Source organism: Homo sapiens, chromosome 7 (genome assembly GCF_000001405.40).
Source record: "Homo sapiens chromosome 7, GRCh38.p14 Primary Assembly".
NCBI classification, from domain to species: domain Eukaryota; kingdom Metazoa; phylum Chordata; class Mammalia; order Primates; family Hominidae; genus Homo; species Homo sapiens.
The window spans coordinates 38276561-38304440 of record NC_000007.14 but is presented as its reverse complement, the minus strand read 5'-3'; the positions used below and the strand labels follow the sequence as shown (position 1 = coordinate 38304440).

Below are 27880 nucleotides of genomic sequence, written 5' to 3'. Positions count from 1 at the left end.
TGGGCTGTGACATGCTGGAGAAAGGTGTCTTTGTCTAATTATTCTGCCTAAGGGCATGCCTTTTGTTAATTAGTAAAAGGAAGCCTTATTTGTGCTCTGCAGAGTGGGGGTGCTGTTTAGGAGGTAATTCGTGATAGAACCACACAGACAAGATAGATTCAATTTAAATAAATTGAATCTATGAAGCTTCCTAACCCCATGGAAACACAAAATTAGTTTACACAAAAATAATCATTAAAGAACTAATGAAAATAATGTTTGAATTCAGCCACCAGACATTACATTCCAGAGCCTTGAGAAAAACTGATGAAAAAAAAGTCATGAAAAAAAGTCATTCGCACAAGTGACACCATGGTGTGAAGTCAAGGAGCACAGACTCTGGAGTCAGAGGGCTTGAGTCAACCTGAGCATCTTCAGCTTTGACTGTGAAGACACAGCTTTGACTCTCTGTGTTGCAGAGATGGTAGTGCCCACTCCAGTGACGCTTGTGAGGATTAGTTGAGATAATAAATACAAAATGCTGAGCATCAAACCTAGAGTAGAGAAAGGTCTCAAGTAAGTACTCATTACCAGTATTTGTTATTTAATTTCACTTTTGTCTACATTCCCTTGTGTGAAATGGTTTGGATAATTAATTAAGGAAAACTTTCCCTCAGGGACATTGCTGATATTGCAATCTTCACTAGATACACTTATCTCTACCTCCGCCTCCACCTCCACCTTCACCTCCATCTCTTCTCTGTCTCTATCTCTATCTTCCTGTTGTTTATCTATCTAATTATTTATAAATGAACTGGTGGGTTTGTTGTTGTTGCAGCCTGGCTAATGTTATCCAGACATATCTGAAACCTCATGAGTGGCATGGAATGGCAGTCCCTGCTTGAACCATTTACCTCCTTTCCTAACACCAACAATCACACACACCTGACACTGACCTGAAGCCTCTGGCCTGTCCTCGGAGGCAAAGACTGGGTAGACAAGATGCCTGGTTACCAGCAATCTTCTGCAATTTCCTCTGAGCTATTGAGATTGCTTTTCTCTTTGCTCAAATTATGTGAGAAACTTTTAAAAAAGAATTTAATGTGCTCTTTTGATATTTCAGGTGTTCATTCAAAAGCCTATGTTATTCTCTGTCTCTCTGTCTCTTTTCCTAGTTGGGTAATCAAAATGGCACAATCAGAAATATTTATATCTGCAACAGAAAAGAAGAATAAATTTATTCATGCACAAGTACATTATGTACATATATATGTTTGTGTATACATATATCTGTATAATTGATATATTTGGGAGAAATAAAAGGTTTCATTAAGCACACAAGTTCTAGAGTTAGACCCTCTGTCGCAAATTACTGTCCTGTCACTTAACTCCTGCCAGAACAAAGTGCATACTTGAACAAAATGCCTGCTCTGTAAAAATGCCTTGATCTTGAATAAAATGCCTGCTAGGTCAAAGCTTCTATTTTCCCACCTAGAAAATGGGAACAATAATAAGAATCCTCACTTAATAGATAATGGAAAAAGTTGCTTGCAGCACAGAGCCTGCTACAGACAATGCCTTCAATTAATGCAAACTATTAATATTATGAAAAGTGAGTATCTGTTTTCTGACAATGTTTTCAATAATATAAATTCTGCCTTTGTTCACTTTATTTGTTTGAAAAAACAAATAAAAAACCAAACAAAAAAGTGTCTTAAAAGTGTCCATTTGTCTTTCTTCTTGACTCCTAGTAACGCTTTCCTGTGTTTAGGGAATTTTCACCTCATGGGTTTTGGTGAGTGAATGAATTCATCTCCCTCTACAGAAAAGAAGAATGCCTGATGCATTTTCTCAGCCTTTATTCCAGGTAGTCAGGTAGACTATGGACTCCAGCAATTAGATACACTCCTCACAACCCCTCCATTACACACACACACACACACACACACACACACACACACACACACACACACGGCTGCTGGAGTTGCAGGGTCTGGAAGGAACTGTCTGGCAGGGATGGAGTGTGCAGGGTGCCTAGTGAGTTCCAGCGTGGCCGTGGCTGCCCTGGCTGTGGCAGCACCAGGGCTCTAAGCCGGGCCCTGCAGACTGGCTCAATCTGCAGCATGGGCGCTCTCTCTTACTTCCCATTCCCAGGACACATCCTGTGCAGGGGAAGAGTGAGTCCTTCTAGTTGTAGCCACAGGCCCATTGGTCTGCTGACCTCCACCTCCTCAATATTCGACTCCCCAGCATTGAGTGTCTCAAAAACAGTATTTTTCAGAAAAGAGGGTGAACAGGGCAACTGCTTTAGGAGGAGCCATCCGAGCCAGCTGCTTCCTCTCCTGTCTCCTAGGGAGGACCCAAGCTGTCGGAGTTCATACCTGTCCCACAAAACACGAGCCAGAGCTGGACAAAAGTGACAGGGACAACCACTGTCCAAGGTTAAGTGAGCCCTGAGGCACCAGAAGATCTCCAAGAAAGCCACATGGAAATCATAAAATGGAGCTGAATGGAGGAAAAGAGAAGTTCTGTAATGTGGAAAAATGAAGTACTAACAATATTTGACTGTTTTCCCTTGATTTAGCCAGGTTACTACTTCAAAACAGTCAGCAAAGCATTTTAACAATGAAAGCTGTTGGGGAAATTAAATGGCTGGAAGTGGAGGGAAACTGTGCATTGTGGTGCATGCCTGTTGTCCTAGCTACTCAAGAGGCTGAGGCAGGAGGGTGGCTTGAGCCCAGGAATTCAAGGCTGCAGTGAGCCATGATCACACCACTGCACTCCAGCCTGGCCAACATAGCAAGACCCTATCTCTACAAAAATAAAAATAAGAAGTGGAGGGGAGATAAAAATGTAGTGGTAGGAGTAGTAGTAATAATATCTAATAATTACTGAAAATTTACTATATGTCAGGAACTATACTAGGTGTACTTAGCTATTTAGTCTGCATAAAATTTTAATACCAGTGTTATTATTGTATCCATTTTCAGATGAGAGATTTGAGGCACAAAGAGATTAAGAAGTTTGCACAGGGTCAGACAGCCCCTATGTGATAAAGATGAACAGTTAGACATTAAAACATGTTTTGGTTGGGTGCAGTGGCTCACGCCTGTAATCCCAGCACTTTGGGAAGCTGAGGTGGGTGGACTGCTTGAGCTCAGAAGTCGGAGGCCAGCCTGGGCAACATGGTGAAACCCCGTCTCTACAAAAAATACAAAATTAGCCAGGCATGGTGGTGTGCACCTGTATTCCCAGTTACTCAAGAGGCTGGGGATGAAAGGATTGCTTGAGCCTCAGAGGTTGAGGCTGCAGTGAGCCATGAGTGTGCCACTGCACTCCAGGGTGGGTGACAGAACAAGATCTTGTCTCAAAAAATATATGTAAAGAAAAAATTCTCCAATGACATGGGAAGTTGCTCAGAATATAAGCTGAACTGAAAGAATACAGAACACTATACATGTAAATATATCTATAGTCCATAAAATCATATTAATATTCATGTATCCAAAATGAAAATATCTACAAGTGAGCATATGATAATGTGAATAGTAGTGGGCCTTTGTGATATGACCGTAGATGTTTTTATTGTTATCTTTCCCCATTGCTCTGAGTTTCTTCAATGAGCACTGTTACCAGCATGTTCTACCTATCAGCTGTGTGACTTCTGTGGAGTTGATGACTCTGTGCCTCATTCCCTCATCCAAAAAATGAAAATTCCAAGTACCCATATTAAGTGATCATTGTGAAGATTAGAAGGTGAAAAACGTTTAGAAAAAAAAAAGGCTAGCAAATAGAAAATGCTCAATAAGTATTTGCTATTATAAAAGTTAATGTTTATTAAATATGCAACAATTTAAAATATTATGCTGAGGAAAAGTGTTCACGAACAACTCCTAGGCAATTAGAAATCCTTCTCATTTCCACAGAAATTAAGCAACCCCCATGGCCCCCTCACATTCGTGCAGAGAACACCATCGAGATTGCTAGCCTGATTTGAGATAAGCAGGGTGAGCAGGAGGGGGGCTCAGTGCTGAGCCTGCAGGAGGCACTGAAGGGCCCAAAAAACCATTTTCTTTCTCTCCCCAGTTCAGGCCACACCCTCCAGAACCTGACCAGAGTCGTCTAGCCACCAGGTCCGCACTTTCCTGCCTTCTCCTTGGGTACACCGCCCCGAAGACAGGATGTCACTGCTGGAAGCATTTGCCTTCTCCTCCTGGGCTCCTGAGTTGCTGTCCGAACATTTCAGTCTAGCTGCGTGACCAAAATCATTCTTCAATGTTTCCCTCTTCTACTGTCAGATGTTCATTGGAAATTCTCCTCTTTTACTTACAGTTGGACTTGGATTATCAAAAGTGGAGCAGTTCCAGCTATCCATTTCCACGGAAGTCAAGAAAAGTATTGACATACCTTGCAAGATATCGAGCACAAGGTTTGAAACAGATGTCATTCACTGGTACCGGCAGAAACCAAATCAGGCTTTGGAGCACCTGATCTATATTGTCTCAACAAAATCCGCAGCTCGACGCAGCATGGGTAAGACAAGCAACAAAGTGGAGGCAAGAAAGAATTCTCAAACTCTCACTTCAATCCTTACCATCAAGTCCGTAGAGAAAGAAGACATGGCCGTTTACTACTGTGCTGCGTGGGATTACACCATACTAGAACTGTTGAAACAACATGCACAAAATCCCCTCCCAGGGTCTGTGCCCACCACATCCTTCCCAACAGGGGCAACCACAGCCAGTCCCCAGCTGGGCTCCCAGACTCAGGCTCGCCTTCTCTGAGGCTCTTCCGGGGCTTTCCAGGAAGCTGTTATGGGTTATACCTTCGTTCCCACCTGATCCCAGGACTTGTGCTCCAGAATCTTTATTTGACACTGTTTCTTAATGCATTAAAGACTTGTCTGGGGACTGAGAGAACATAGGTCGTGCCACTGTCCATCATATCACCACCTAGAGACTTCCAGTAAGTAGCAAGGTGCAGTTGAGACAGGGATCCTTATTACGTACAGTCAAGACAACCCCCCTGCAATATAACTATCACTGGCCCAGTTTACAATGAAAGAAATGAAAGCTTAGAGAACTGAGGTTGCATGATCTGCCAGACAAGTCATGTCTTTGAGCTGGTCTATGAGACCACACCGAACAGTTTAAGGATTGCAATTCTCTAAGTAAATGCTAGGATATCTGGGATAAATTCGGGAAGGAGTAAGTGCCCTTTTTTCTGGGAGGGGTAGGGAGGAGAATTTGCCTGCATGAGATCGTCAGAATAGAGCTCCAAGTCATCCCAGGGGCCATTGGATGAGACCCTTCATGTTGGAATAACCTTTGGTCTTACCTGTAAAGGAAGAGAGAATTGTATCGTGTGTGTGTGTGTGTGTGTGTGTGTGTGTGTGTAAGTTCTCTACAGTGTTCTCAATTCTTTGCATATATTAGCTCCTTTAACCCACACTACCTATAGTGTCTGCTCTGTTGTTCTCATCAAACATATCTAACTCCTGAAATAAGTGGAGTATTAGTTCATGCACTTGTCCAAATCACAGAGCTGATAGGTGGCAGGACAGCCTAGGGAGGGACCCAGGTAATCTGGTTCCTCTTGAATATGACACTAAACTGCTTCTGAATCACAGGAGTATAAAAGAAAAGACACATTGTTCCTGTCCCCATGGAGGAGACAGAACTGACCATCATGGAACAGTAACTGACACACATTACTACCGTGTGCTGAAACTTGTGCCCAGGGTTCCAGTGATTAGGTGTATTCAGAGAACAAGTAAAATGCCAATAAAGTACCAAATGACTTTTCTTTCTTTTTTTTTTTTTTTGAGACTGAGTCTCGCTCTGTCGCCCAGGCTGGAGTGCAGTGGCGCCATCTCCACTCACTGCAAGCTCCGCCTCCCGGGTTGACCCCATTCTCCTGCCTCAGCCTCCCGAGTAGCTGGGACTACTGGCGCCCGCCACCACGCCCAGCTAATTTTTTGTATTTTTAGTAGAGACGGGGTTTCACTGTGTTAGCCAGGATTGTCTCGATCTCTTGACTTCGTGATCCGCCAGCCTTGGCCTCCCAAAGTGCTGGGATTACAGGCGTGAGCCACTGCACCCGGCCACCGATTGACTTTTCAATATAAAAACATAAGAAATTTGGGTTTTCCATATCTAGGTACGTGACAGGTACTGTTATCTATACTTCATGTTCATTATCATTATTATGTGATCATGTAAATTTCTTAAGTCTCTGGAAGCCATTTAGGCACTTATAGATGTAGAACTGAGACCTAAAGATTTCAAATAACTCAGCTGATGTTAGATAGGGTAAGTAGTCTAGAAGGGTGCATATTGTCATAGGTCATTAATAGTAATATTCAGATGAGCTTTTGAAGGACCTGATATATTTTTAAATATAAAATTAAAAGATCAGAATATAAAACTGTAAATGTAAAACCCATTAAAAAACGTTTAATCATGGCTGGGTGCAGTGGTTCACGCCTGAAATCCCAGCACTTTGGGAGGCCAGGGTGGGCGGATCACGAGGTAAGGAGTTTGAAACCAGCCTGGCCAATATAGTAAAACACGTTTCTACTAAAAATACAAAAATTAGCCGGGTGTGGTGGTGCACGCCTGTGGTCCCAGCTACTCAGGAGGCTGAGGCAGGAGAATTGCTTGAATCCGGGAAGTGGAGGTTGCTGTGAGCCGAGATCGTGCCACTGTACTCCAGTCTGGGTGACAGAGCAAGACTCTGTCTAAAAGAAAAAAAAAATTTAATCCTGTGATCCTGTGTAATGATCCAAACAAATATATTACTATCTACAAATGTGTAGAGAACATGCTTAAAAGTAAATTCTGATTGCTCTTATTTTCTTTATTTTAATTAACTAATTAATGTTCTACTAGAGTCTTCTCAAAATATTTTCATCATTTTGCAACATTTGGTCAGGTTTTCTTCAGTGAGGATTGGGTAGTTATCCAAGCTCCCATGTTTACCAACTTTGTGATCTGGGACGTCATGCGTGCCACACTGTTCTTGTCTATCAGAGAGAGATAATAATACCACTGCCTCTCAACGCTGGTGAGAAGTGTGAAGGAAGTAATGGAAGAAAACGTTTAGAACAATGTTAGCAAGTCTACAATAGATGTTTGATATAACGTTAATTTTAAAGGCTTATGATTACACATAAAAATGAACTTTATTTAAAAACACCCCTCTCTGTGACATAGTGTTCATGAGATAGTTCTGAAGTCCAAGGTGAGTTCCCACAGACTGCCCTGTCGGTCCCTCCAGCAATTTCAATCAAGTTTCCTCTTGAGGTGCACCCTCTTTATAAGTGAAATTGGATTTCTCTGAGTTATAATCTGCATTGTGACATCCCAATTAATTATAAACCAAATACTTTACTGTATTTCAAACAGAAATGACTATAGCTTTTTAAATGAGGTATGAATAATGCTAGTGTAAAATTTCAGTTTGCCTTTTTTAAAATTGTAAAATACTGTCCATGTTTTATACTCCTGAGTCCTGCATCCCCAAAACATTAACAGAGGGATCAATTTTTACGTGAGGTAAAGAAAGTTATATGCTTATATATCTGGAAAAATATTGTACAGTCTGAAAATCAAGGAGAGAACAGCTAAGTTTGAAGCAGAATTAGTTCAACTCCAGAGCTGCTCCCATCCCTTTCCACAGACACATTCTTGTCAGGTAATGCACCCTACACCCCGTCAGTGGTCAGTGTAATGCTCCTGGGAACTGCTCAGCTCTTCAGTAGGCCATGAAGTCCCCAGAGGGCACCTGACCCACCACATTTTTCTCTCTCACCAAGTCATGCCATGCTGTCTCCCCACTGACTGGGGCCAGCCAGCAACCAGGGTCCTTCTCCTGGGGATATGGCTCAGCAGACAGCAGGATGTCCCTGCTGAGAATATTCATATTTTTCTCCCTCTGCAGCGGTGAGTTGCTCCTCAATTATTTCAACATAGATGAGAGATGAAAGTGATTCTTTTTTTCTTTTATTTTAAGACAGTCTCGTTCTTTCACCCAGGCTGGAGTGCAGTGGTGTGATCTCAGCTCACTTCAACCTCTGCCTCCTGGGTTCAAGCAATTCTCTCTTGTGCTTCAGCCTCCAAAGTAGCTAAGATTACAGGCATGCGCCACTGTGCCTAGCTTATTTTTTTATTTTTAGTAGAGGCAGGGTTTTGCCATGTTGGTCAGGCTGGTCTCGATCTCCTGGCCTCATGTGATCTGCCCTCCTTGGCCTCCCAAAGTACTGTGATTACAGTCATGAGCCACCACACCTGGCCAGATGAAAGTGTTTCATTATCATTTCCTCTTTCTATGTCCCAGGTTCATGGGGATTTCTCTTTTTTGTTTGCAGTTGAACTTGGTAAGTTAAATTTAAAGCAATAAAAAATGTCAACTACATTTTTGTCAACAGAGCAACAGATAAAAGTGTCTAGGTATCTTGTGTGGTGTCCACTGAAGACTTTGTAAATATAGTTATACACTGGTACCAGCAGAAACTGAATCTAAATTATGAGCCATCTGACAAATATCACTTCAATAACAAGCCCCAGTTCGAGTTTGCTTAGGTGAGAAAAACAAGAAACTTGAGGCAAGAACAAATTTTCAAATGTCTACTTCAGTCTTTACCATAAACTTCATAGGAAAGGAAGATGAGGCCATTTACTACTGCACTGCTTAGGACCCACAGCATCAGTGCCACACTGTCCCACACAACAACCTCTGTTGGGTCTCTGCCCAACCACATCCTTCCCATGGGAGCAAACTCTATGGACTCCTAGCTGGGCTCCCACCCTCAGCCTTGCCTTCTCTGCGGCACTTCTGGATCTTTCTGGGAAGCCATCTTGGGTTAATGCTTTAAGCAGGAAGCATGCCTGATCATGACGTTCCCAGATATTCATTGAACACTACTTCCTAATGAATTAAGGTTTGGCCTGGGAATGAGTGGACACAGGCTAAGGTCCCATTCCTGTCAGCATCCAGATAATTCTATTAACTGCAAACGGCTTAGGCCAAGGGAGAGAATCGTTGTGTATAGGAATCCCATATATAATTATTTCAACACCTCTGCAACAGAACTATTATTTGCCCATTTTAATAAAGAAATTAAAGCTTACAAGTTCAAAATGACTGGTCGAAGTTGAGAAGTGCATGTTTTTTGTTTTTTAAAACTGGATCATGAGGCCACCTTGAATATCTAAAAGTCACAGTTGTACAACAGACTCTTTGAGGTGACTTTGGGGTGGAGCAAGTGTCTTTTTTCTGTAGAGAAGAAGATGGTTCCTCACTTCACACTAAGGGGTGTGACAGTGTGATATCATCAGAAAAGAGCCCCAGGCATCGGACTGTTAAATGAGCCATACTTTGCATTTATTAACTCCTTTAACCTCTGGCAACCTCTGAGGTCTGTTCTGTTATGAACAGAAGTGCATTTTACTCAGGTAAGTGAGATCTATTTGTCCTAGCCACTCATCCAGGTCACACAGCTGGTTCATGGCAGTGTAGGATTGGACCCAGCTAGTCTGGCTCCAGAGTCTGTACTCCTCAGTCACAGAAGGGTAAAGAGAAGTACATTGTTCCTACTCCCATGGAGAAGACAATACTGACAACTTCTGTAAAACATTTACTGGCACAATTATTATTTTGAACTGAATCAGGTGACCAGAATTTGAGCAATTAGGAATCCTTGTTGAATAAGTGAAATACCAATAAATTATCCATTTTTTCAAAATATAAAGTGATACAAATTCGATTATTTTATGATGCCATCTCTAAAATAATTGAGAAAGAAATGAAGAATACCTTTAATCCATGTACTTTTCCTATAGCAGTACATACTAGGCACCCCCATGGAAAAATATAGATACCACCTTGCATTCGTGCCACGTGTTGTCTTACTTATTCGATAATTTCCAAGGTCAGGACAACATATTCATCCTCATCATCCCCTTTTCCAAGGAGCCAGGAAGGCTACTGAAGGAAATAAAGGGGGTTCCAGGAAAGGCTGACCTGGGGCTGGAATCAGACAATCCGTCATCCTTTATCCTCCCACCCCGATGCACTCAGCCTTTTGTGATCCACATCCTGTCTGTGTAATTCCTGACCATCATATTCCCTCAGGGTGGGCCACACTTGGTTTCTTGAACCTATATGGGCCTTTACTTGTTAACTTTAATATTAGCTAAAGTAGACAGTAAGATCTGAGGAAAAACACAGCGAATCTGAGAGGATAAGCTGTTTTCAGACAGGGATGCATAGACAGGCTTGCGGAAATACTTGTGTCACCCTCTTCTCGTGGTTGTCTCATCTACTACTCAAAACAGCCTCAGAGAGCAGCAATGAGGTATCCACTGCCAGATCCCTGTGTCCAGATCATAGAGCAGAGCTCTCCTGCAGCCTTTCAGGCATCAGACTAAATGGTGAGAAACAGAGAAAGAGATACTAGATTCATAGTGCATTCAAATGACAGAATACTATGCAGCCTGTGAAAATGATATTGTATGCATTTATTAATAAAATTCAAACATCTTCACAATACAATGTAAAGAAAAGTTCTTGAAGTGTACAAAACCTCTTAAAAATATAAATGTCTGTGTTGATAGAATAATTTTTTAAAAACAGAAAGAAATTATCCAAAATTTTAGAATAATTATTCCCGAGGGAATAATTATTTAAATTATTCTATGTACTTTTACTAATTTTTATATATTTTCTTAAGTGAGATACTAAGGCTTTGTTGTAAGATATACTTAACAAAGTAATTTTCTCTTGTTTGGTAGTAATACTAAGACACGATAACGTCATTAAGGACTCATGCTGTGCCAGGTACTGATATCTGAGTATTTTATGCATTACCATTGTGTAACACGATAATATAAGCCCCTTAGTACCTCTAGAAGATATATATGTAGGCAAGGTACACATGTAGAAACTGAGGCCCAAGAGCTTAAATAACTCAGCCCACATTCTATAGGGTTAAGTGGTATAGGAGTGTTTAATTGTATTCGGTCACTAAAAATAATGTGCACATAGACTCAAGACCTGCAGTATTGCTCATGATAATAAAGTAACCAAAATAAGAGAGTATAAAGCCAAATATGTAAATCCCACCGAAATATATACATATATCATATGTATAAATAATACCAAGCCATTCTATTTCTTTTTTAAAAATTTTTAACTTTTAAGTTCTGAGGTACATGTGCAGGATGTGCATGTTTGTTACATAGGTAAACGTGTGCTGTGTGGTTTGTTGCACCTATCAACCCATCACCTAGGTACTGAGCCCAGCATGCATTAGCTATTTTTCCTAATGCTATCCTTCCCCACACCCTGCCCGCCAATAGGCCCCAGTGTGTGTTGTTTCTCTCCCTGTGTCCATGTGTTCTCATCATTAAGCTCCCACTTATAAATGCGGACATGCAGTGTTTGGCTTTCTGTTCCTGCATTAGTTTGCTGAGGATAATGGCTTTCAGCTCATCCGTTTTCCTGTGAAGGACATGATCTCCTTCCATTTTATGGCTGCATAGTACTCCATGGTATATATGTACCATAATTTCTTTATCCAATCTATCATTGATGGGCATTTGGGTTAATACCATGTCTTTGCTACCGTGAATAGTGCTGCAATGAACAATACCAAGCTATTCTATTTCCAACCATAAATATGTTGAGAAAAATTCAAAGGAAAAGTAAATGATGGGTGCCTTTTGTTGTCAATTTTTATATCTCATTTTACTCAGATTTTCCTTAACGGATGACTGCTACTCACCTGAGTTCTTATGTTTACCAGCTCTGTGTTTTTGAATGAGTCACTCAAACTCTGTTTGCCGTTGTCCTCATTTGACACATGGAGATAATCATAAAACTTACTGCACAGGACTGTTGAGAGGATCAAGTAAAATAATATAAGAAAACATCTAGACAAGTAGCAAGTTGTAAATGGATATTAGATGCTTGTCAAGTTTCTTACTGCAGTTCTGAATTAACAGCTAATTACAGAAAGATAGTCATTGGGACAGAACACTGCAGGTTTATCTTCACATTTTCAAAGCCATATTTCTGCAATATGGTACTGCTGGGGAATGGGAGAGTGGGCAAGAGAACATCCCTGCCCCACCCCTAGAGGTACACATTCATACTAGGTATTTCTTTCCAGATAGTTAACCCACTTACCCGATCTGCCCAGCACTCATGGGATGCAGGAAACCCTGGAACTGCTCATAACTGTAGCAGCTCATGAAGAACCCTAAGGAACCACCTCATCTAGTACTTCTGAGAGACCTCAACAGCCCCGCCTTCTGCCACTGACTTGAGACCTCCAGTGAACAGGGTTACCTTCTCCCTGGGGAACCAGACTGGCAGAAAGCATGCCACTGGTAGTAGCTGTTATCTTCTTCTCCCTCTGGGTTTGTGAGTTGCCCCCTAATCATTTCAGTCTACAGAAGAGATTGAAGTCATTCTGTATTATTACCTCTTCACGTATCGTTGGCTTATGGGAATTTCTCTTCACTTGCAATTGCACTTGGGCAGTTGGAACAACCTGAAATATCTATTTCCAGACCAGCAAATAAGAGTGCCCACATATCTTGGAAGGCATCCATCCAAGGCTTTAGCAGTAAAATCATACACTGGTACTGGCAGAAACCAAACAAAGGCTTAGAATATTTATTACATGTCTTCTTGACAATCTCTGCTCAAGATTGCTCAGGTGGGAAGACTAAGAAACTTGAGGTAAGTAAAAATGCTCACACTTCCACTTCCACTTTGAAAATAAAGTTCTTAGAGAAAGAAGATGAGGTGGTGTACCACTGTGCCTGCTGGATTAGGCACCACAGTGTTAGAGTTGTCAAGATAACCTACACAGAAACTATCTCCGAGTCTGTGCCTGTCCACATCCTTCTCCATGTGGGCAACCACAGCGGTTTGCTCAGCTGGGTGCCCAGCCGGAGCCTGCCCTCCCTGCAGCTCTTCTGGAATGTTGCAGGAAGACATCTTAGATTCTGCTCCCTTGGTGTGCAGAATCACATTGGTGATTCATGGTGTCCAAACGGGAAAAGTTTTCTTGTTCCCTCTCAGGGCGTGCGATAAGGATGTGGCTCCCTTCTTGGTGCCCCTCTCCTCAAACCTCTAGGGGGAGCATGCACACGTGCAGGTTGTGGGGCTCCGACCCCACAGCAGTGTCTAGGGGTGAATGCTTATAACTCCTGAGGCCCCAGTGGGCCTGTGTTACAAGGTGTCCTTTTAGTTTGGCTGTCCATAGGTGACTTGCTTTAGCCAGCTCAATTAGACCCCCTGCCTTATTGCAAGGACGGAGGGCTTTCTGTATCCCTGGGTTTCTTGCCTTGGTGTACTGAAAGAATTGGATAACATGTGGGCTTGGAGAATGAGTGCAAGTTTTTTATTTTTGTTTTTGTTTTGAGACGGAGTCTCGCTTTGTCGCCTGGGCTGGAGTGCAGTGGCGCAATCTCGGCTCACGCAAGCTCCGCCTCCCGGGTTCACGCCATTCTCCTGGGCAGTCTCCCGAGTAGCTGGGACTACAGGCGCCCCCCACCATGCCTGGCTAATTTTTTGTATTTTTAGTAGAGACGGGGTTTCACCGTGTTAGCCAGGATTGTCTCGAACTCCTGACCTCGTGATCTGCCCACCTCGGCCTCCCAAAGTGCTGGGATTACAGGTGTGAGCCACCGCGCCTGGCCGAGTGCAAGGTTTTATTGAGTGGAAGTAGCTCTTAGCAGATGGGGGAGCCAGACGGGAGATGGAGTGGGAAGGTGGTTTTCCCCTGGAGTTGACTGCTCAGCGGCCAGGCTTTCCTCCAACCACCCCGCCAAACTCTGCTTTGTTCTGCCAGTCGATGGCCTGCAGCCCGCCAGTCTCGCCAAACTCTGCTTTGTTCTGCCAGTCGATGGCCTGCAGCCCGCCAGTCTCTGTAGGTGTGCTTTTCCACATTAGTGTTCCTCTCGATGTCCAGCCACTTGTGTGTGTGCCCACTAGGGTCTCAGGGGTTTTATAGGCACAAGATGGAGGCGTGGCGGGCCAGGGTGGTCTTGGGAAATGCAACATTTGGGCGTGGAGGCAGGAGTGCCTGTCCTCACCTAGGTCCGTGGGCACAGGCCTGGGAGTGGGGCCCTCGACAGGGACCACGTCCTTCCTTTCCCTGCACTTCCCTCCCCCAATCCCATATCAGTGTCAGCAATTAGGATCCAAATTAGGGACATTTTGACACTATTTCCTACAACATTAGGATATCTGGGAACTCTGAAAATACAGAGTGGGTGGCTTAGAGCAAAATTCATCTGTCTAGTAATTCGCTACGTAGAGATTTCTAGTAACTGGTTCAGAATGAAAGTAGGAAGCAGTATATATTTTACATAGATATTCCCTGCTGTTATCATTATTTTCCCATTTGGTTCATGAGCATTGGAGGTTTTCAAAGTTAGAGTGATCTGTCAAACATAGTAACTGTGTGCTTTTTATTCGCACCTGAGGCCATCCTGAAGAAATCTAGGGACAAGTAAGTAGATCTGTAAGTAAACAATCACCTGTTTGGGGTATATGAGAGATGAAAGTATAAATCCTGTGTCCTAGAGGAAGAGCATGCAGCTCACTTCACACTCAGGGCTCAGTGCTGGGACAAAACAAGCACTGTGCAGTGGAACCCAGCTCCTAGGCACAGTGGGGGATCTCAGGATGGGGGCTATGCTTTGGAGATCTTGTCTTTCAGGGTTCTGCAAAGAAAACTAAAAATCCTGAGTAAAATAGGATTAGATAGTTAAGAAGAAAGATAATACATGCTTCCTGCATCGGTAAAGGAAATAACCATAATAATACCCCTCAGAAATTAATAAATAAGAAATAATGATTGACAATTATTTTATGTTTATTCCATGATTAATCATTGGGTGGTTGGGAACTTTCAAAAAATAATGAAACAAAATATAAAACTGTAAAACTGTAAAAGTCCTCTCTCACTTCTTTGAAACTTTCAAACAACAAATTAATGATGAAAAATCCGGAGTTTCAAAGATTTTCTCCTATTTATACCTTTAGTACTATGGATATCTGACAGCATATTGCCATACATGCAGTCTACTTACAGTCCTTGAAGTAATTGCAACGTATTTTTTCTCCATTCTCCCTTCTGAGAATCAGCTTGTACCATCCTGATAGGATAAGAGGAGAAATGCTATTGAAAGCCCAATGAGGGAATACCAGGAGCCTCCATGGCAGGTCAGCCCCTTTCCAGGTGCAGACTCAGAATCTGGAGTCCCGCATCCTGTCCGCCATGATTCCTGACCATGGTGGTCCACAGGGAGAATGACCTGAGCGCCTGAGTGAGTCCTCAACAGACCTCACCTCTCACCTGATGCATACATAAAAGCAAAGGGAAGAAGATTGTTAAGGAAATACAGAGCCTGAGAACATGAACTTTTCAAGAAATAGGTGAATGAAAAGATGGAATTCAGCTTTTCACAATGTCAGTGTTAAGTATTTTACATGGATTATTTTATTTAATCCTCAAAAGAGCAGTGTAGAGTGACTGTAGTGGCCACACAAGGTCAGGTCTTAGAAGATGCAGTCACTTTGACTTTTTAAGAGACTCCTGGGAGATTTATGGGGAAGAAAACTTAGAGACACACTAGAGTGAGGAAGAGGAAGGAAAGAGACACCGTATCTGTGTGAATTTAAAGTAATGAAATACTATGTAGCAATTAAGCAGTGTTTTTGAAGAACTATAAGTAAAATTGAAAATATTCACCATGTATTTAGCAGGAGGATATTGAACACAGAACTGATTTAAATAGTAAGCTCTCATGTACATACATGTATATATTGAAGAACGAGCAAAAGGAAAAAAATTCTCCAAAGTTTAAAGAGTGGGTGTCTCTGAAAGGATGGGTGATTTTAACATCTTCTTGGTACTTGCACAGATTTTACACATTGTAACAAAAAGCTGCTACTACTTTTAAAGATGTATGCCATAATGGCTTCAATATTTTATTGATTCATGCATTTAATAATGAAACTGTTTATATAACAACATAAAATATAACTATATATGGCACACTTAAAATTATTTTTATGTTTTTCCACTTAATCATATCACTACTCTATAGCTCTCAGAAAAAAAAAAACAAAAATACCAACCTTCATGTTAATACTGGTTACTATTGAGCAGAAGGTCAGCAAACTATGTCTATGACCAGCAGTCTCCAGTTTTGTAAATAAAGTTTTATTGAAATACAACCATGCCTATTTATTTATATATTGTTTATGGCTGCTTTTGCTAGCTGCTTTTGCACTTGAATGGTAGAGTACATTCAGTCAGTCTTCACTATCTGTGCATTAAATACCTGCGAATTCAACCAACAGTGGATCAAAAATATTTGAAAAAAATAAAAAATTACAATACAGCAATAAAAATAATACAAATAAAAACAATATAATATAGCAACTACATACATAGTATTTACATTGTATTAGGTATTATACATAATTAGAGATGATTTGAAGTGTAGAGGAGGATGTGCATTTGTTATATGCAGGTACTATGCCATTTTATATCAGGGACTTGAGCATACATGGATTTTGGTATCTGTCGGGGATCCTGGAACAAATCCCCTGAAGATTCTGAGAGATGACTGTAGCTATAACAGAGACCCACAAAGCCCAAAATATTTATTATTTGGGTCTTTACAGAAAATGATTTTCAGTCACTGTCCTAGAGTGATAGACTCATGAGTGACATTTATTCATATTTAGTGTTTCCCAATTTCTCAATTTTTCTTTAATGACCCTTTGTTACACATCCACCCTCCCCATATTAGCTGTGTGACTTCAGATAAATTAGTTAGCATATATTTGATTCATTTTCCTAATTGTAAAATGGAGAACATAATAATGATTACTCAAATAAACTGTTGAGAAAAGTAACTTAAATAATACAAATAAAGTTCTTGCAAGTGCTTGGGGCATGCCTAATGCTCAACAAATTGAAGCACTACATTAATCATATGAGTTATTATTGCATATTAGAAAATAAAATTATTTAGACTAATACTCTAAGTCCTTGGTACTCAAAGTTTGATTTGTGAACCAGCAGCATTGGCTTCACTTAGGAGCTTCTTTTAAATCCAGTCAGTCAAGCCTCAGCCCAGGCCTACTGCGTCAGAAGCTCTTTTCAGAAGGTCCCTCCTACATACTATGGTGTGGGGAGTGGGAGTCTAAGGGCCAAACTGTTCAAGATATAAGCTCCACAGTCTGGTACAAGTGCAAGCCAATCCCATTTCCATAGGATGGTTGTGTCTAGTGTCCTCTCTAATTTCTGGAGAGCAATATTGAACTGATATTTGGCCTCTCTGGGGCTGAAATAGATGGCATCCTCCCAATTAATTAAACAAATATACTCAATTGTCCACGTATATGTACTTTTATTTTCATTTATAAAATTTGTTATAAAATCAGCACAAATTTTCAGTATTTTATATAGTGAGAAATACAGGTGTTTTATAACCTTGAGTTTTAGATCCACATTCAACCCACAGGAAGAGTAATTTTTGCTTTGAGTACAAAATACATATCACTGTATCCTCATATCCACATATCACATATCCTCATATCACTAGGGCTACTGAAAAACGAAATAGGAGGCAACAGGGAAGGGGAGAGAAATTGAAGTTAATTGCCACTGTCACCACTCACCCACACCTCACCCTTCATAGGAAGAGTTCTCCTCTAACCATCACCATATTGCCAGATCTCCTGGGCACTGGAGTATTTAGAGGGCCAGCCATTTCAGATCTGACAACGCTGCACTCTACAGAAAGGGTTGTCAGGGAATCACTGTGACCCACTACTTCTTTCCCTGACACCTGCTCAGACCAAGCTACCCTTGCCACACACTAAACATTCTAGGCACAGGCATCCTCACTTTCCTGCTTCTTCTTGGGAACACAGCCTGGCAGACCAGAGCATGTCAGCACCAGGAGCATGTAGGGATTCACCTTGGGGTTTGCTCCAGTCATTTCACTTTGTATATCAGGTGAAGAAATTCTTTATCACTTCATCTTTACATATCAGGTGTTCATGAGAATTAATTTTCTTTGCTTACAGTTATTCTCAGGGCGTTAAAGTTGGCACAAATTTAAAATACCCAGGGCAAAAGATAAGGATGCTTTTATACCTTGTAAAATATCCAGCCAAGACTAAAAATGAAGTCAAATACTGGTGTCAGCTGAAACCTAAGTCGGCATTGGATGTGTGTTGACAATCGCACCTGCTCAGGGTCCATTAGGTGTTGTGGCTTACAATGATGCTCATCCTTCCACTTCAACCTTGAAAGTAAATTTCACAAACATGAAGATGAGGTCATTTACTGCTGTGATTATTGAGCCCACTGGGCATCAAGCACACACTTCCCTGCCTTCTCCTTGGGACACAGCAGGATGTCGTTGCTGGAAGCATCATCTTTTCCTCTCTCTGGACTCTTACGGGTTCCCCATCATTTTGACTCTTGAGGAGAGAGCAAGTAAATTATTTAATGGTGCATCTTTATACCTCAGGTCTTCATATGGATTTCTCTTCTTTGCTTACAGCTTGTTTTGGATACAAGAAATTGGAGCAACCTGAAATATTAATTTCCAGAGAAAAATATTAAAAGTCCAAATACTATCTGGGGTGGTATCTAGCCGCTTATACTGGCTGAGACATAACTTGATGCATTTTCCTCAACAACATGACCCTCTCAATTCACTTAGGGGCTGTAGCTGAAAATGATGTTCCTAGATCTGTTTTGACCTACAAGATAAATTCTCAGGAAAAAGGAAATGGAGATAGTTATGTGCTTGCTGGAATCACAGATGAGAGATGTCAGGACACCCGCACAGAATCCCTCTTTAGGTCTGTGTGTACCAGCCCCCTTCCAACAGGAGCATAGGCTTAGCAGGGTTGTCAGGGTTGGACTGCACCTCCCAGGACTTCCCCTTCAACCTCTGGAAACTTGATTATGTTCACACATTAGGACATACAGAAATCAGTGTACTCTGTGCTCAAGGTCCAGGGATTACCTGAAAGTTTATATGATCCAGACTCAAAGAGGGAATCACTGAGTGGCAGGAAACGTGCTGGGTATCTTACACATCTTATATAACCATTGCAATACTTTCGCAATGTCATCTTCATTTTTTTCCACTTTAATATGAAATAATTTGAAAGATAAAATACCTTCTTAAACCCCAAATGCCCATGTTTCCTCAGCTGTGTCCTGTGACCTTGAAGAAGTTAGCATTCATTTGCTCCACTCATGTTGGGGGTGAGTGTGAAATGAAGCTCCTGCCCTCTCCTCAGGCTCATTCCACTCTGAGGGATCCTCCTACAGTCCAGCCAGCACACTTCCTTTGCACAGGTCTCAGATCCTCCTAGGGAAGGGAGGGGGCATTAGATGATCCACCGACAAGGTGGATCCCCACCAGGATGGATCCTCTTCCCGGCTTCTGCCTGTGATTGCAGCAGCCGTTTATTCAGGGTACTCTGCTCCCTCTTGGGCACTGCTCTAAATCCTTTACATGTAACTCATCTCATCCTTGGGACATCTTTTCACATTGGTCTGTTGTGATTCTCATCTTACGGGGGAGGAAACAGAGGCAGAGCGATGTGATTTACTTTGTGGTCAGAGTTCTTAACTGGGGGGGGGGAGGGGCTGGGGTTCTGGCTTCAGCGTCTGTCCTCGTAACCACGCTGTGTCCTGACTCTGAGAGAGGAGGTAAAAATAGCATCTAATATGTGGTCTCTACGGCTAGAAAGAAAACTGATAGGAAATTAAACTAGACATTTTAGTGAAATTATAAAGGCTGAATGCAGACTAGTGGGAGAGTGTGAGCCGCTGGGGGCCAAAATTTTAGGGAATTTCCCACCATCTTTTAGACTTTTTCTCCAGGAACCCTATGCAGGCTCTTGCAGGGAAGAGCATGGAGAATCCAGAGAAAGCTCCCCTTTTTGGTACTGGCTTAGAAGGGGAACAGTAGCCACTGTCTAAATTCACCCAGACCTACCCCACCTCTTCTCCACTGTAGAAGGACTTAATCTGCAAGAGAAGGTTTCTATGGAATTTCATTTTAGTTGAGGGAGGGAAAAGGAAGCCACCATCAACTCTGCCCAATACTTTATCCCTATCTCCACAGAGTAATGAGTTTTAATGTGCAGAAGGGTGGGTGTCAAAATCATAGCCCAAGGACACTGGTGGGTGCCTCCTATGACTGGAAATGTGCCACCTCTGGAATAAGAGCAGCAACAGTTGTGAAGTTACATTCTCAAGTCCCGGTTTGACCCTGCCTGTTTAAGACAGAAGCTGAATGAAAATAGCAGAGAATGGCTCCCTTCCTCACCTCACCACCATACTACCTTGAGCAAAAGCAACAGTAGAATGCAGTGAAGAGAGCTTCAAAAGACAGACTGTCTCTGGGGAGCAGAACAAAGGGATGGCTCAAAGCCAAGAACAAGGGATGATTAGAGAAATCTAAAGTCTCTAATGTCCTATGAAGAACAAACTCCAATCCAGACAACTTAGTAGCAACAACAAACTTCTAACCCAGTCTAACTCCTAACTAGATTAACACAAACTCCCACACTAAAGGTCTGGCAGAAAGAAAGATGCAGGCATTTTTTTTTTCTTTTTTCTTTTTTCTTTTTTTTTTTTTTTTTGAGGCGGAGTCTTGCTCTGTCACCCAGGCTAGAGTGCAGTGGCTGATCTCAGCTCACTGCAACCTCTACCTCCCGGGTTCGAGTGATTTACCTGCCTCAGCCTCCCGAGTAGCTGGGACTATAGGCATGCGTCACCATGCCTGGCTAATCTTTCTATTTTTAGTAGAGACGGGGTTTTTACCATATTGGCCAGGATGGTCTCAATCTCTTGACCTCGTGATCTGCCCACCTTGGCCTCCCAAAGTGCTGGGATTACAGGCATGAACCAGCGTGCCTGGCCAATGTAGGCATTTTTAAGCATCAAATATAGTTATCTCAGTATCTACTGTGTTATACAACATCGTCCCCTTTCAATAAAAAAATCTAAGTACCTTACCCCAAAACAAGAAGGAACACAGTCTTGAAGCCACAAAGCAATCATACGCATCGGACTCTGATATGACTCAGATGTTTGAGCTGTCAGGCAGGGAGTTTAAAATAACTGATGAGTATGTTAAAGGCTCTAATGGAAAAGGTAGACAACATGCAAGGTCAGACAGAGAATTTCAGCAAAGAGACAGCAATTACATAAAAAAATTCAAATGAAAATGCAAGACATAAAAAAAAAACACAGTAACAGAAATCAAGAATGCCTTTGAAGGGCTCACCAGTAGACCCTATGGAGATAAGGAAAGATTTGGTTAACATAAAGATAGGCCACTAGATATGACCCAAACTGCAATGCAAGGAGATGAGAAAGAAAGAACAGGAGAGAAAGCATATCTTCATGGAAGAACAGAACTGTGGACAATATCATATTTTCAAACATATTTGTAACTAGAATCCCTGAAACAAAAGAGACAAAGAGCAGAACAAATATTTGAAAAAATAATGGCTGAGAGTATTCCAAATGTAGTGATAGATACCAAACCACAGAACAAAAAAGCTAGGAAAACACCAACCAGGATAAATATTAAAAACAGAACAAAATACCTAGACATATTAGATTTAAACTGTTGAAAACCAAAAATAAAGAGAAACTCTTGAAGGTAGCTAGAGGGAAAAAAGCAGATTTTCCATCTGAAACCACGCAAGCAAGAAGACATTGGAGTGAAATCTACAAAGTGTTAAATGAAAAAACTGTCACTTGGCATAAAGACAGCTTCAGACAAAATAAAAACTGAGAGAATTCATTGCCAGCAGTTGCACTTCACAAGAAATGTCTGAAGTTATTCAGGCAAAAAAAAAAAAAATGATATGGGTCAAAAACTTGAATTCACACAAGGAAATGATAAGAACTGGAAATAAAATAAATGAAGGTAAAACATAGTCCTTTAAACCTTAATTGCTCTAAAACAGGAGTTGGCAAACTATTTTTGCAAAGGACCCAATAGTAAATATATTCTACGTTGGTGGACAACATAGTCTCTGTTGTAACTACACAAATGGGCTATTGCAACACAAAAGTCCTTGCTACTCTTAAGTCTGGAGGGACATGGAACTGTTATAACAACCGGGAGGGTATCTGTATTGAAAGGGACACAGCCAACCGGTCTTAGTTTGAGTTCCCCCAGGAAGTGAGCCTCAGGCTTTGAGGACAGCTAGTTTGTTTGGGAGACACAGGAAGACTAGTAGGAGAGTGAGGAGATGATGTTAAGAAAAGGAAGGCAGATAATTAAATTACTTTCATTAATTAGATACTAAATGAGCAACAGGAACCTCATAGAAGTTCAAAACCTAACAGATCAATTAAATCATAATTTCTTGTTTTTCTGTTCCTTTAATTCGTGGGACTGGCCATGTAAAATAAATAAAATCTGCAGACCCCTATGTGATCTGATGGTTAGTGTGGTAGTGAACCAGGGAATCTTGCTAAGTGTCAGAACGTGATAAGAAAGTAACCACAGAGCAGAAAAATATTCCTGGTGTTACCTTAAGTTATAAAGACAGAGCTTAAAATCGAGCACACATATTATATCTATGTGAAGCAAATGAAAAAGATGAGCAGATATTAGCCTGTAAGGGAATACACCAAACTGTTAATAGTAGTTGTCTCTGGTTGGTGGGGACAAAAAGTGACTGTTTTCTCTGCATTTCTTTCTGACCCATCTACCCATGTTGTCTTCCCATAGCTATTTACTGCCCTTTGTTTCTACAGCTTCCTAACTGTTCTGAAATCCCTTACTAATCAGAGCAGTTTCCCTGGTATGCCCATCACACATATGGGCATGTGGGACATAGAGATTAGCTTTTTTTCTGACTAGATTAGTAAATTCTTATAATAGAAGGACCTGCTGAACCAAGGCTGGAATTTCCTACTCTTCACTCTGAAAGCTGGAACCAATCCCAAGGGGCTGGCCACACACTTGGTTCAAATTGGGTAGTCCTGGCCTGCTTTCTGCCTTCTTAGAGTGACCTAGGACTTGTTCATGTCCAAGGCCTTACCAGCCACACCTAGAAAATAGCAAGAACAATAGTAGCAACCATATCTATACCATTACATTTAGCTCAGTACCTCTCTTTTTGGATGTCTGACAAGTAGCCAAAAAAATTATTGATTCCAATTCCACTCCCTTCCCCCAATCTCCAAGCATGTATTATTTTCCTCCCCAGACTTTCCTATTGCAGTAAATGGCAACAGTATATTGTATCATCTGATGGAATGGCAAGGGTGTTTTCTCAAGCAGATAGTGTTTTGTTGACTTCTGTGTTTTTTGTTTCTCCTAGTAATGAGAGAAGAGTGCAGAGACCCAACTATTACTGAGTTTCCTGTGATATGAGATCTGAAGGGAGTTTACAGGAGCTCTTGAAGCTATGGTTTCACCTGCGAGAAAGACACCCACAAACCAGGCCCAACCCTGTGTGGTCCAATCTGAGACTGGAGTAGGCTGTCTCAACAGAGCCCCTGACCGAAACACTACAGACCCAATGCAGGGAAGACCCAGTCTTCTCTCTAACTTACTGCAGGTTTAGAAACTCTTTGTGTTCCCCCTGACATGTGCAGGGCAATAGGCCAGCCATGACGGCAATGATTGTCATTCTGAAGTGCATGGCCCAAATGGCCCCATGGATGTATAATCTCCTGGTGTCACTGAAAGACAAATAAAAAGAAAGTAAATTGTGAGATATAATTTGATATTCAGATTCAACTAGCCCCGCTCCTCACAGATTATTTTGCTAGGTGTTGTCACTGACTACTCAATGCTTTTTAGAATATGCAAATCAACCATTTCATCTGCTTTTTATTTCGTTTAATATGTTCTGTGATTCCTAGAAAGCAATACCCAGCATCCTCTATATGGCCATTTGAGATACAGATTCTCTATATTATACAGACCTAGACTATACTTGGGAACTGCGTTCCTTCCACACATATCTCTCCAACTGTGAAGTAATTGATGAACAGGGTTTGGGATCTGGAAAACTTGAACTGAAATCCTGGCTCAGTTTGAACTCCCTAATTCTGTTTCCTCACATGACTTTTAATGGTAATAACCATTTATAGGGTAAAGCAGAAAGAGATAAATGCATAGTTAGTGCCTGACTCATGGTAGACACTATATTTATGAGTTTTCTTCTCTTTCACTATCAGAAAGCACAGGCCCATGGATTGTCATCCTGCAGCAGGGGGAAGGTAAGTGAAAAGGAGATTTGGGGCTTAGAGTAGCATATCAATTTCTCAAGACATTTTTCCAGACACGAGTCTTTTATGCAAACATTTCTTGTTTGCCAAAAAGAAACAAGTGTTTCACCAGGCATGTTTGCCTGTGGGAGCAGTATCAGTTGAAAAGTATCTATAAATCTACAATATGCATAGTGGCATGTTAAGTACCCCAAGTGCAAAAGAAACCCTAAAAGACTAAATCTTCAGGTTAAGAATGAAGACAGGTGGCACAATTGCTAAAAGGGAGAATCTGATTGAAAGTGCAGTGACCCGGCCTCTCCCAAACACTGCCCTGGTGTTTTTAGAAACAAGTGAAGATCCACTGGACTATATTGTAACATATCTGATATTATCTAAGTGATGACATATGTGAAATCAAATTATGCTAATTTATGAAAGTTAGTGGTCCACAGATTGTCAGTATGTGATTTTTTTATCTCTTGTACATGTCAGATAATGTGTTTTTTTTTGCTTCAGAGGGTGGTCTCTCTCAGAAGTGTCTTAACTTACTGCTGTACCTGATTTAATTAAGATCCACTACAATTTCTGAAAGATAAACCAATGTGAAAAAAATGTGCAAATTATTATTTTGGTTCATGTTGGCAACCAAACCCTGAAATGAAATGTGAGATATATTTTCGTATCTTTTGATGGTCTAACAAATTTGGTTGAAGCTGTTCTCTATGAAAATTATTATCATCAGACTTGAAAAAGTGATGCAAAACTTCAAGCAATGCAGTATCAACTTGTGCTTTACCTCACTTGACTTACTTGTTATTTATATATTTGTTCATTCATAACCCATCTTCTTGGAAGCAGGATTTAAGTTGCCTCAGTTTGTTAACTCAAGACATGACAAATGTGGCGGGGAGGATGTATGTGTTCCAAAACACAGGGTTAGAGGCGAAACTGCTTATCTTTATACACATTCATTTGGGTTTCATTTTACGCCTTTAGTAAAACTGAACATCATGGTCTTCACATAGTTCTTTTTTTTTGTAAACTTAATAAAATATGTTATAATTCATTACTTACTTTTTACATTGTATTACTTAAATCTTTCATGGCTGTTGAAATGTAGACAGCTTCTAAGACTTCTGATACTTCCCCACATGGTTCTGGAATAAGGAAAAGCAGAGGACAAAGAGGGATTGAATGGGCATCATCCCATCTATGACAGGTGCAAAGGGTAATTGACAGTACGAAGTAACAATAACTTATTATTTTCAGATAAAAAGACACAGAAATAAGATCTTTCCATTCTACCTTATGAAGTGAAGTCTCTCTGTCTGAATTATTACATAAATGATAAGAGAAAATTAAACAGTTTTTAGCCCCTACTGTGTCCCATGCTCGATTATAAATATCGTACAAAAGTCCTGGGAAATAGGTCTAATTCTCTCCATTTAAAAGATGAGGAAACCCAGGCTCTGAGAAGTGTGTGTGCCCAAGGGCACATCACCAGGAGTGGAAGAACTGGAATCTGAACCTGGGTTTTCCAATTTTAAAGTGTCTTTTTCTTCATTCCCAACTTCCTGAGATAATAATTTATTTCATAAGAATCCTTTAAAAGCTCGAGTAAACTTGTTAATGTTTATTGCTGCAGCCACTCTGTCCATCTCCACCATCACTGCAACAATTCAGGTCCTGGTTGCCTCTTATTGGATTATGGCGACCACCTATAAAACCATCTGCTTCAGCCAAATTGCTGTCCTGGGGAGCGCCCCTTCCTTTCTGCTTGCACATCTATCTTTCTCCAGTGCAAATGTGATCATGTCACTTTCCTCTCTAAATTTTTTAGCAAGTCCTCATTGTCTATTCTTTCAAAAACATTTATTTGAAAATACTATAAAAATAGAAAATTTTCCACATGCTTACTTCCTAAAAATTAATGTGTTAAGTTTCTCCTACCCCATTTCCATCCCATGCCCCTTTACTCAATGGATACAATAAATCTCCAATATGTTCCTTCTGGCCACGTGTTGCTTTGTAATTTTAATTTTAATCTATTTGGACCCTGTGTTATCTGGGATGAGGTAGAGTGGTATTTTTATTTTCTAAGGTAATTATTTTCCTAATGCCCGTTTCCAAACAATCCATCATTTCCTTTCAATTTAAAAATGCTGCAGCGTGTTTTAAATATGCACACATATTTGACACATTTTCTGGAGAATTTCTGTTTTATTTGTCTGTTTCATTATTCTTACATCATTATCATATTATCTCAGTAGCTTTGTGATAAAAATTAAGATCTACTATGCCAAATGTCTATTCACTGTACCATTTTTCAGAAAATCTTTTTCAATCATCTCATATTTATTCACTCCTGTAGAATTTAAAATCAACTTATCTAGCCCAACATTAAACCTCACAGCCTAGAACAACAACAACATGTCGTAGTAATTCTGACTGGAATTGCTGGAAATTTATAGATGAATTTAGGATGTATTGGCCTCTTTATGATAGGAGCTTTTTATTCATCAATGTATGTTTCTCCATTTATTTAGGTTTTATTTTATGCCCTTAGGAAAACTAAACACTGTGTTCTTCATATCATTCTTGTATTTTTTTGGTAAATTTAATAAAAGATTTTATAATTCATTACTTTTCCACATTTTATTAGTTAAATCCTTCATGGCTCTTGAAATATTGACAGCTGCTAAGACTTCTGATGCTTCGCCTCATGGTCCTGAAATAAGGAAGGCCAGAGGACAAGAAGAGATTGAGCGGGCGTCATTCCATCTATCACAGGTGTAAAGGGTCATTGACAGCGCCACATAATAATTTTGAATTTTCTATTAAGAAGAAACCCTTTCCAAACATAATTTTCACCCAGCCCCATTGTCCTCTCCATTGAATTGGGGGCTGTGAGCTGCTGTGTATGGACAGGTACCCTCTGTGACCTCATTCATATCTTCCTGAATGAGGACTCAGGGGACTTAGGCTGGAGCAGGGTGGATCTGGAGTGGACATGGAGGTTGTCAAGGCTTGTCCTCCTCAGCCCTTGCAAGTGAACACCTCATCTGTACTCAGGAGATCACACAGCTGACCCCGGCTTAAGATGGCAGATTTTTCAACATATTAGATAACTGGATTTGTTTTTTTTGGTCATGCCTCAGTATAATTAAAGAATGTATTATTTCATGGGAGATAGAATTCTACAAATTTCTTCTATTATTCCAGGAGAAATAATAAGTCATTGCAGAACACATTTTTTCATTTGGCATTGCCTTGGTAAAGCATCATGTTGCCAAATGATAAAAGTGGCTTTTTGAAAGTGGAGACCGTTGTTCAAATTTCTCAAGTATATCTGCATTGACACATTTGCATTTTCAGTTACTAAAGAGCTTCCTCCTTTCAGAAGTATCTTCCCAAATTGCTAGCAGAGAGGCTCTGGTGTTTGTGGGAACAGAAGGGCTTTTCCTTTGATGTAATCTCAAAGCAGTTTCAACACAATTGAACCCCTGGAAAAAAAAAAGACAATTCTCTGAATACTTTTCCTGGTAATTTAGAAAAGCAGTGGGTTGACCCATTAAACCTGCTGTT

At 40.8% G+C, this 27880-nt stretch overlaps 3 pseudogenes and 1 further gene, besides 6 other annotated features; all 4 read left to right on the top strand.

Moving 5' to 3' along the window:
• Positions 1-27880, top strand: part of TRG (T cell receptor gamma locus) — a 128032-nt gene that overhangs the window by 63615 nt on the left and 36537 nt on the right.
• Positions 4161-4200: a sequence feature (TRGV10 leader sequence).
• Positions 4161-4631, top strand: TRGV10 (T cell receptor gamma variable 10 (non-functional); annotated as a pseudogene). Its single transcript is given in 2 exon segments — positions 4161-4200; positions 4312-4631. Coding segments are annotated over 2 exon segments (360 nt in total).
• Positions 4312-4631: a sequence feature (TRGV10 leader sequence).
• Positions 8208-8250: a sequence feature (TRGVB leader sequence).
• Positions 8208-8678, top strand: TRGVB (T cell receptor gamma variable B (pseudogene); annotated as a pseudogene). Its single transcript is given in 2 exon segments — positions 8208-8250; positions 8362-8678. Coding segments are annotated over 2 exon segments (360 nt in total).
• Positions 8362-8372: a sequence feature (TRGVB leader sequence).
• Positions 12363-12405: a sequence feature (TRGV11 leader sequence).
• TRGV11 (T cell receptor gamma variable 11 (non-functional)) lies at positions 12363-12825 on the top strand (annotated as a pseudogene). The gene is given in 2 exon segments: positions 12363-12405; positions 12512-12825. Coding segments are annotated over 2 exon segments (357 nt in total).
• Positions 12512-12516: a sequence feature (TRGV11 leader sequence).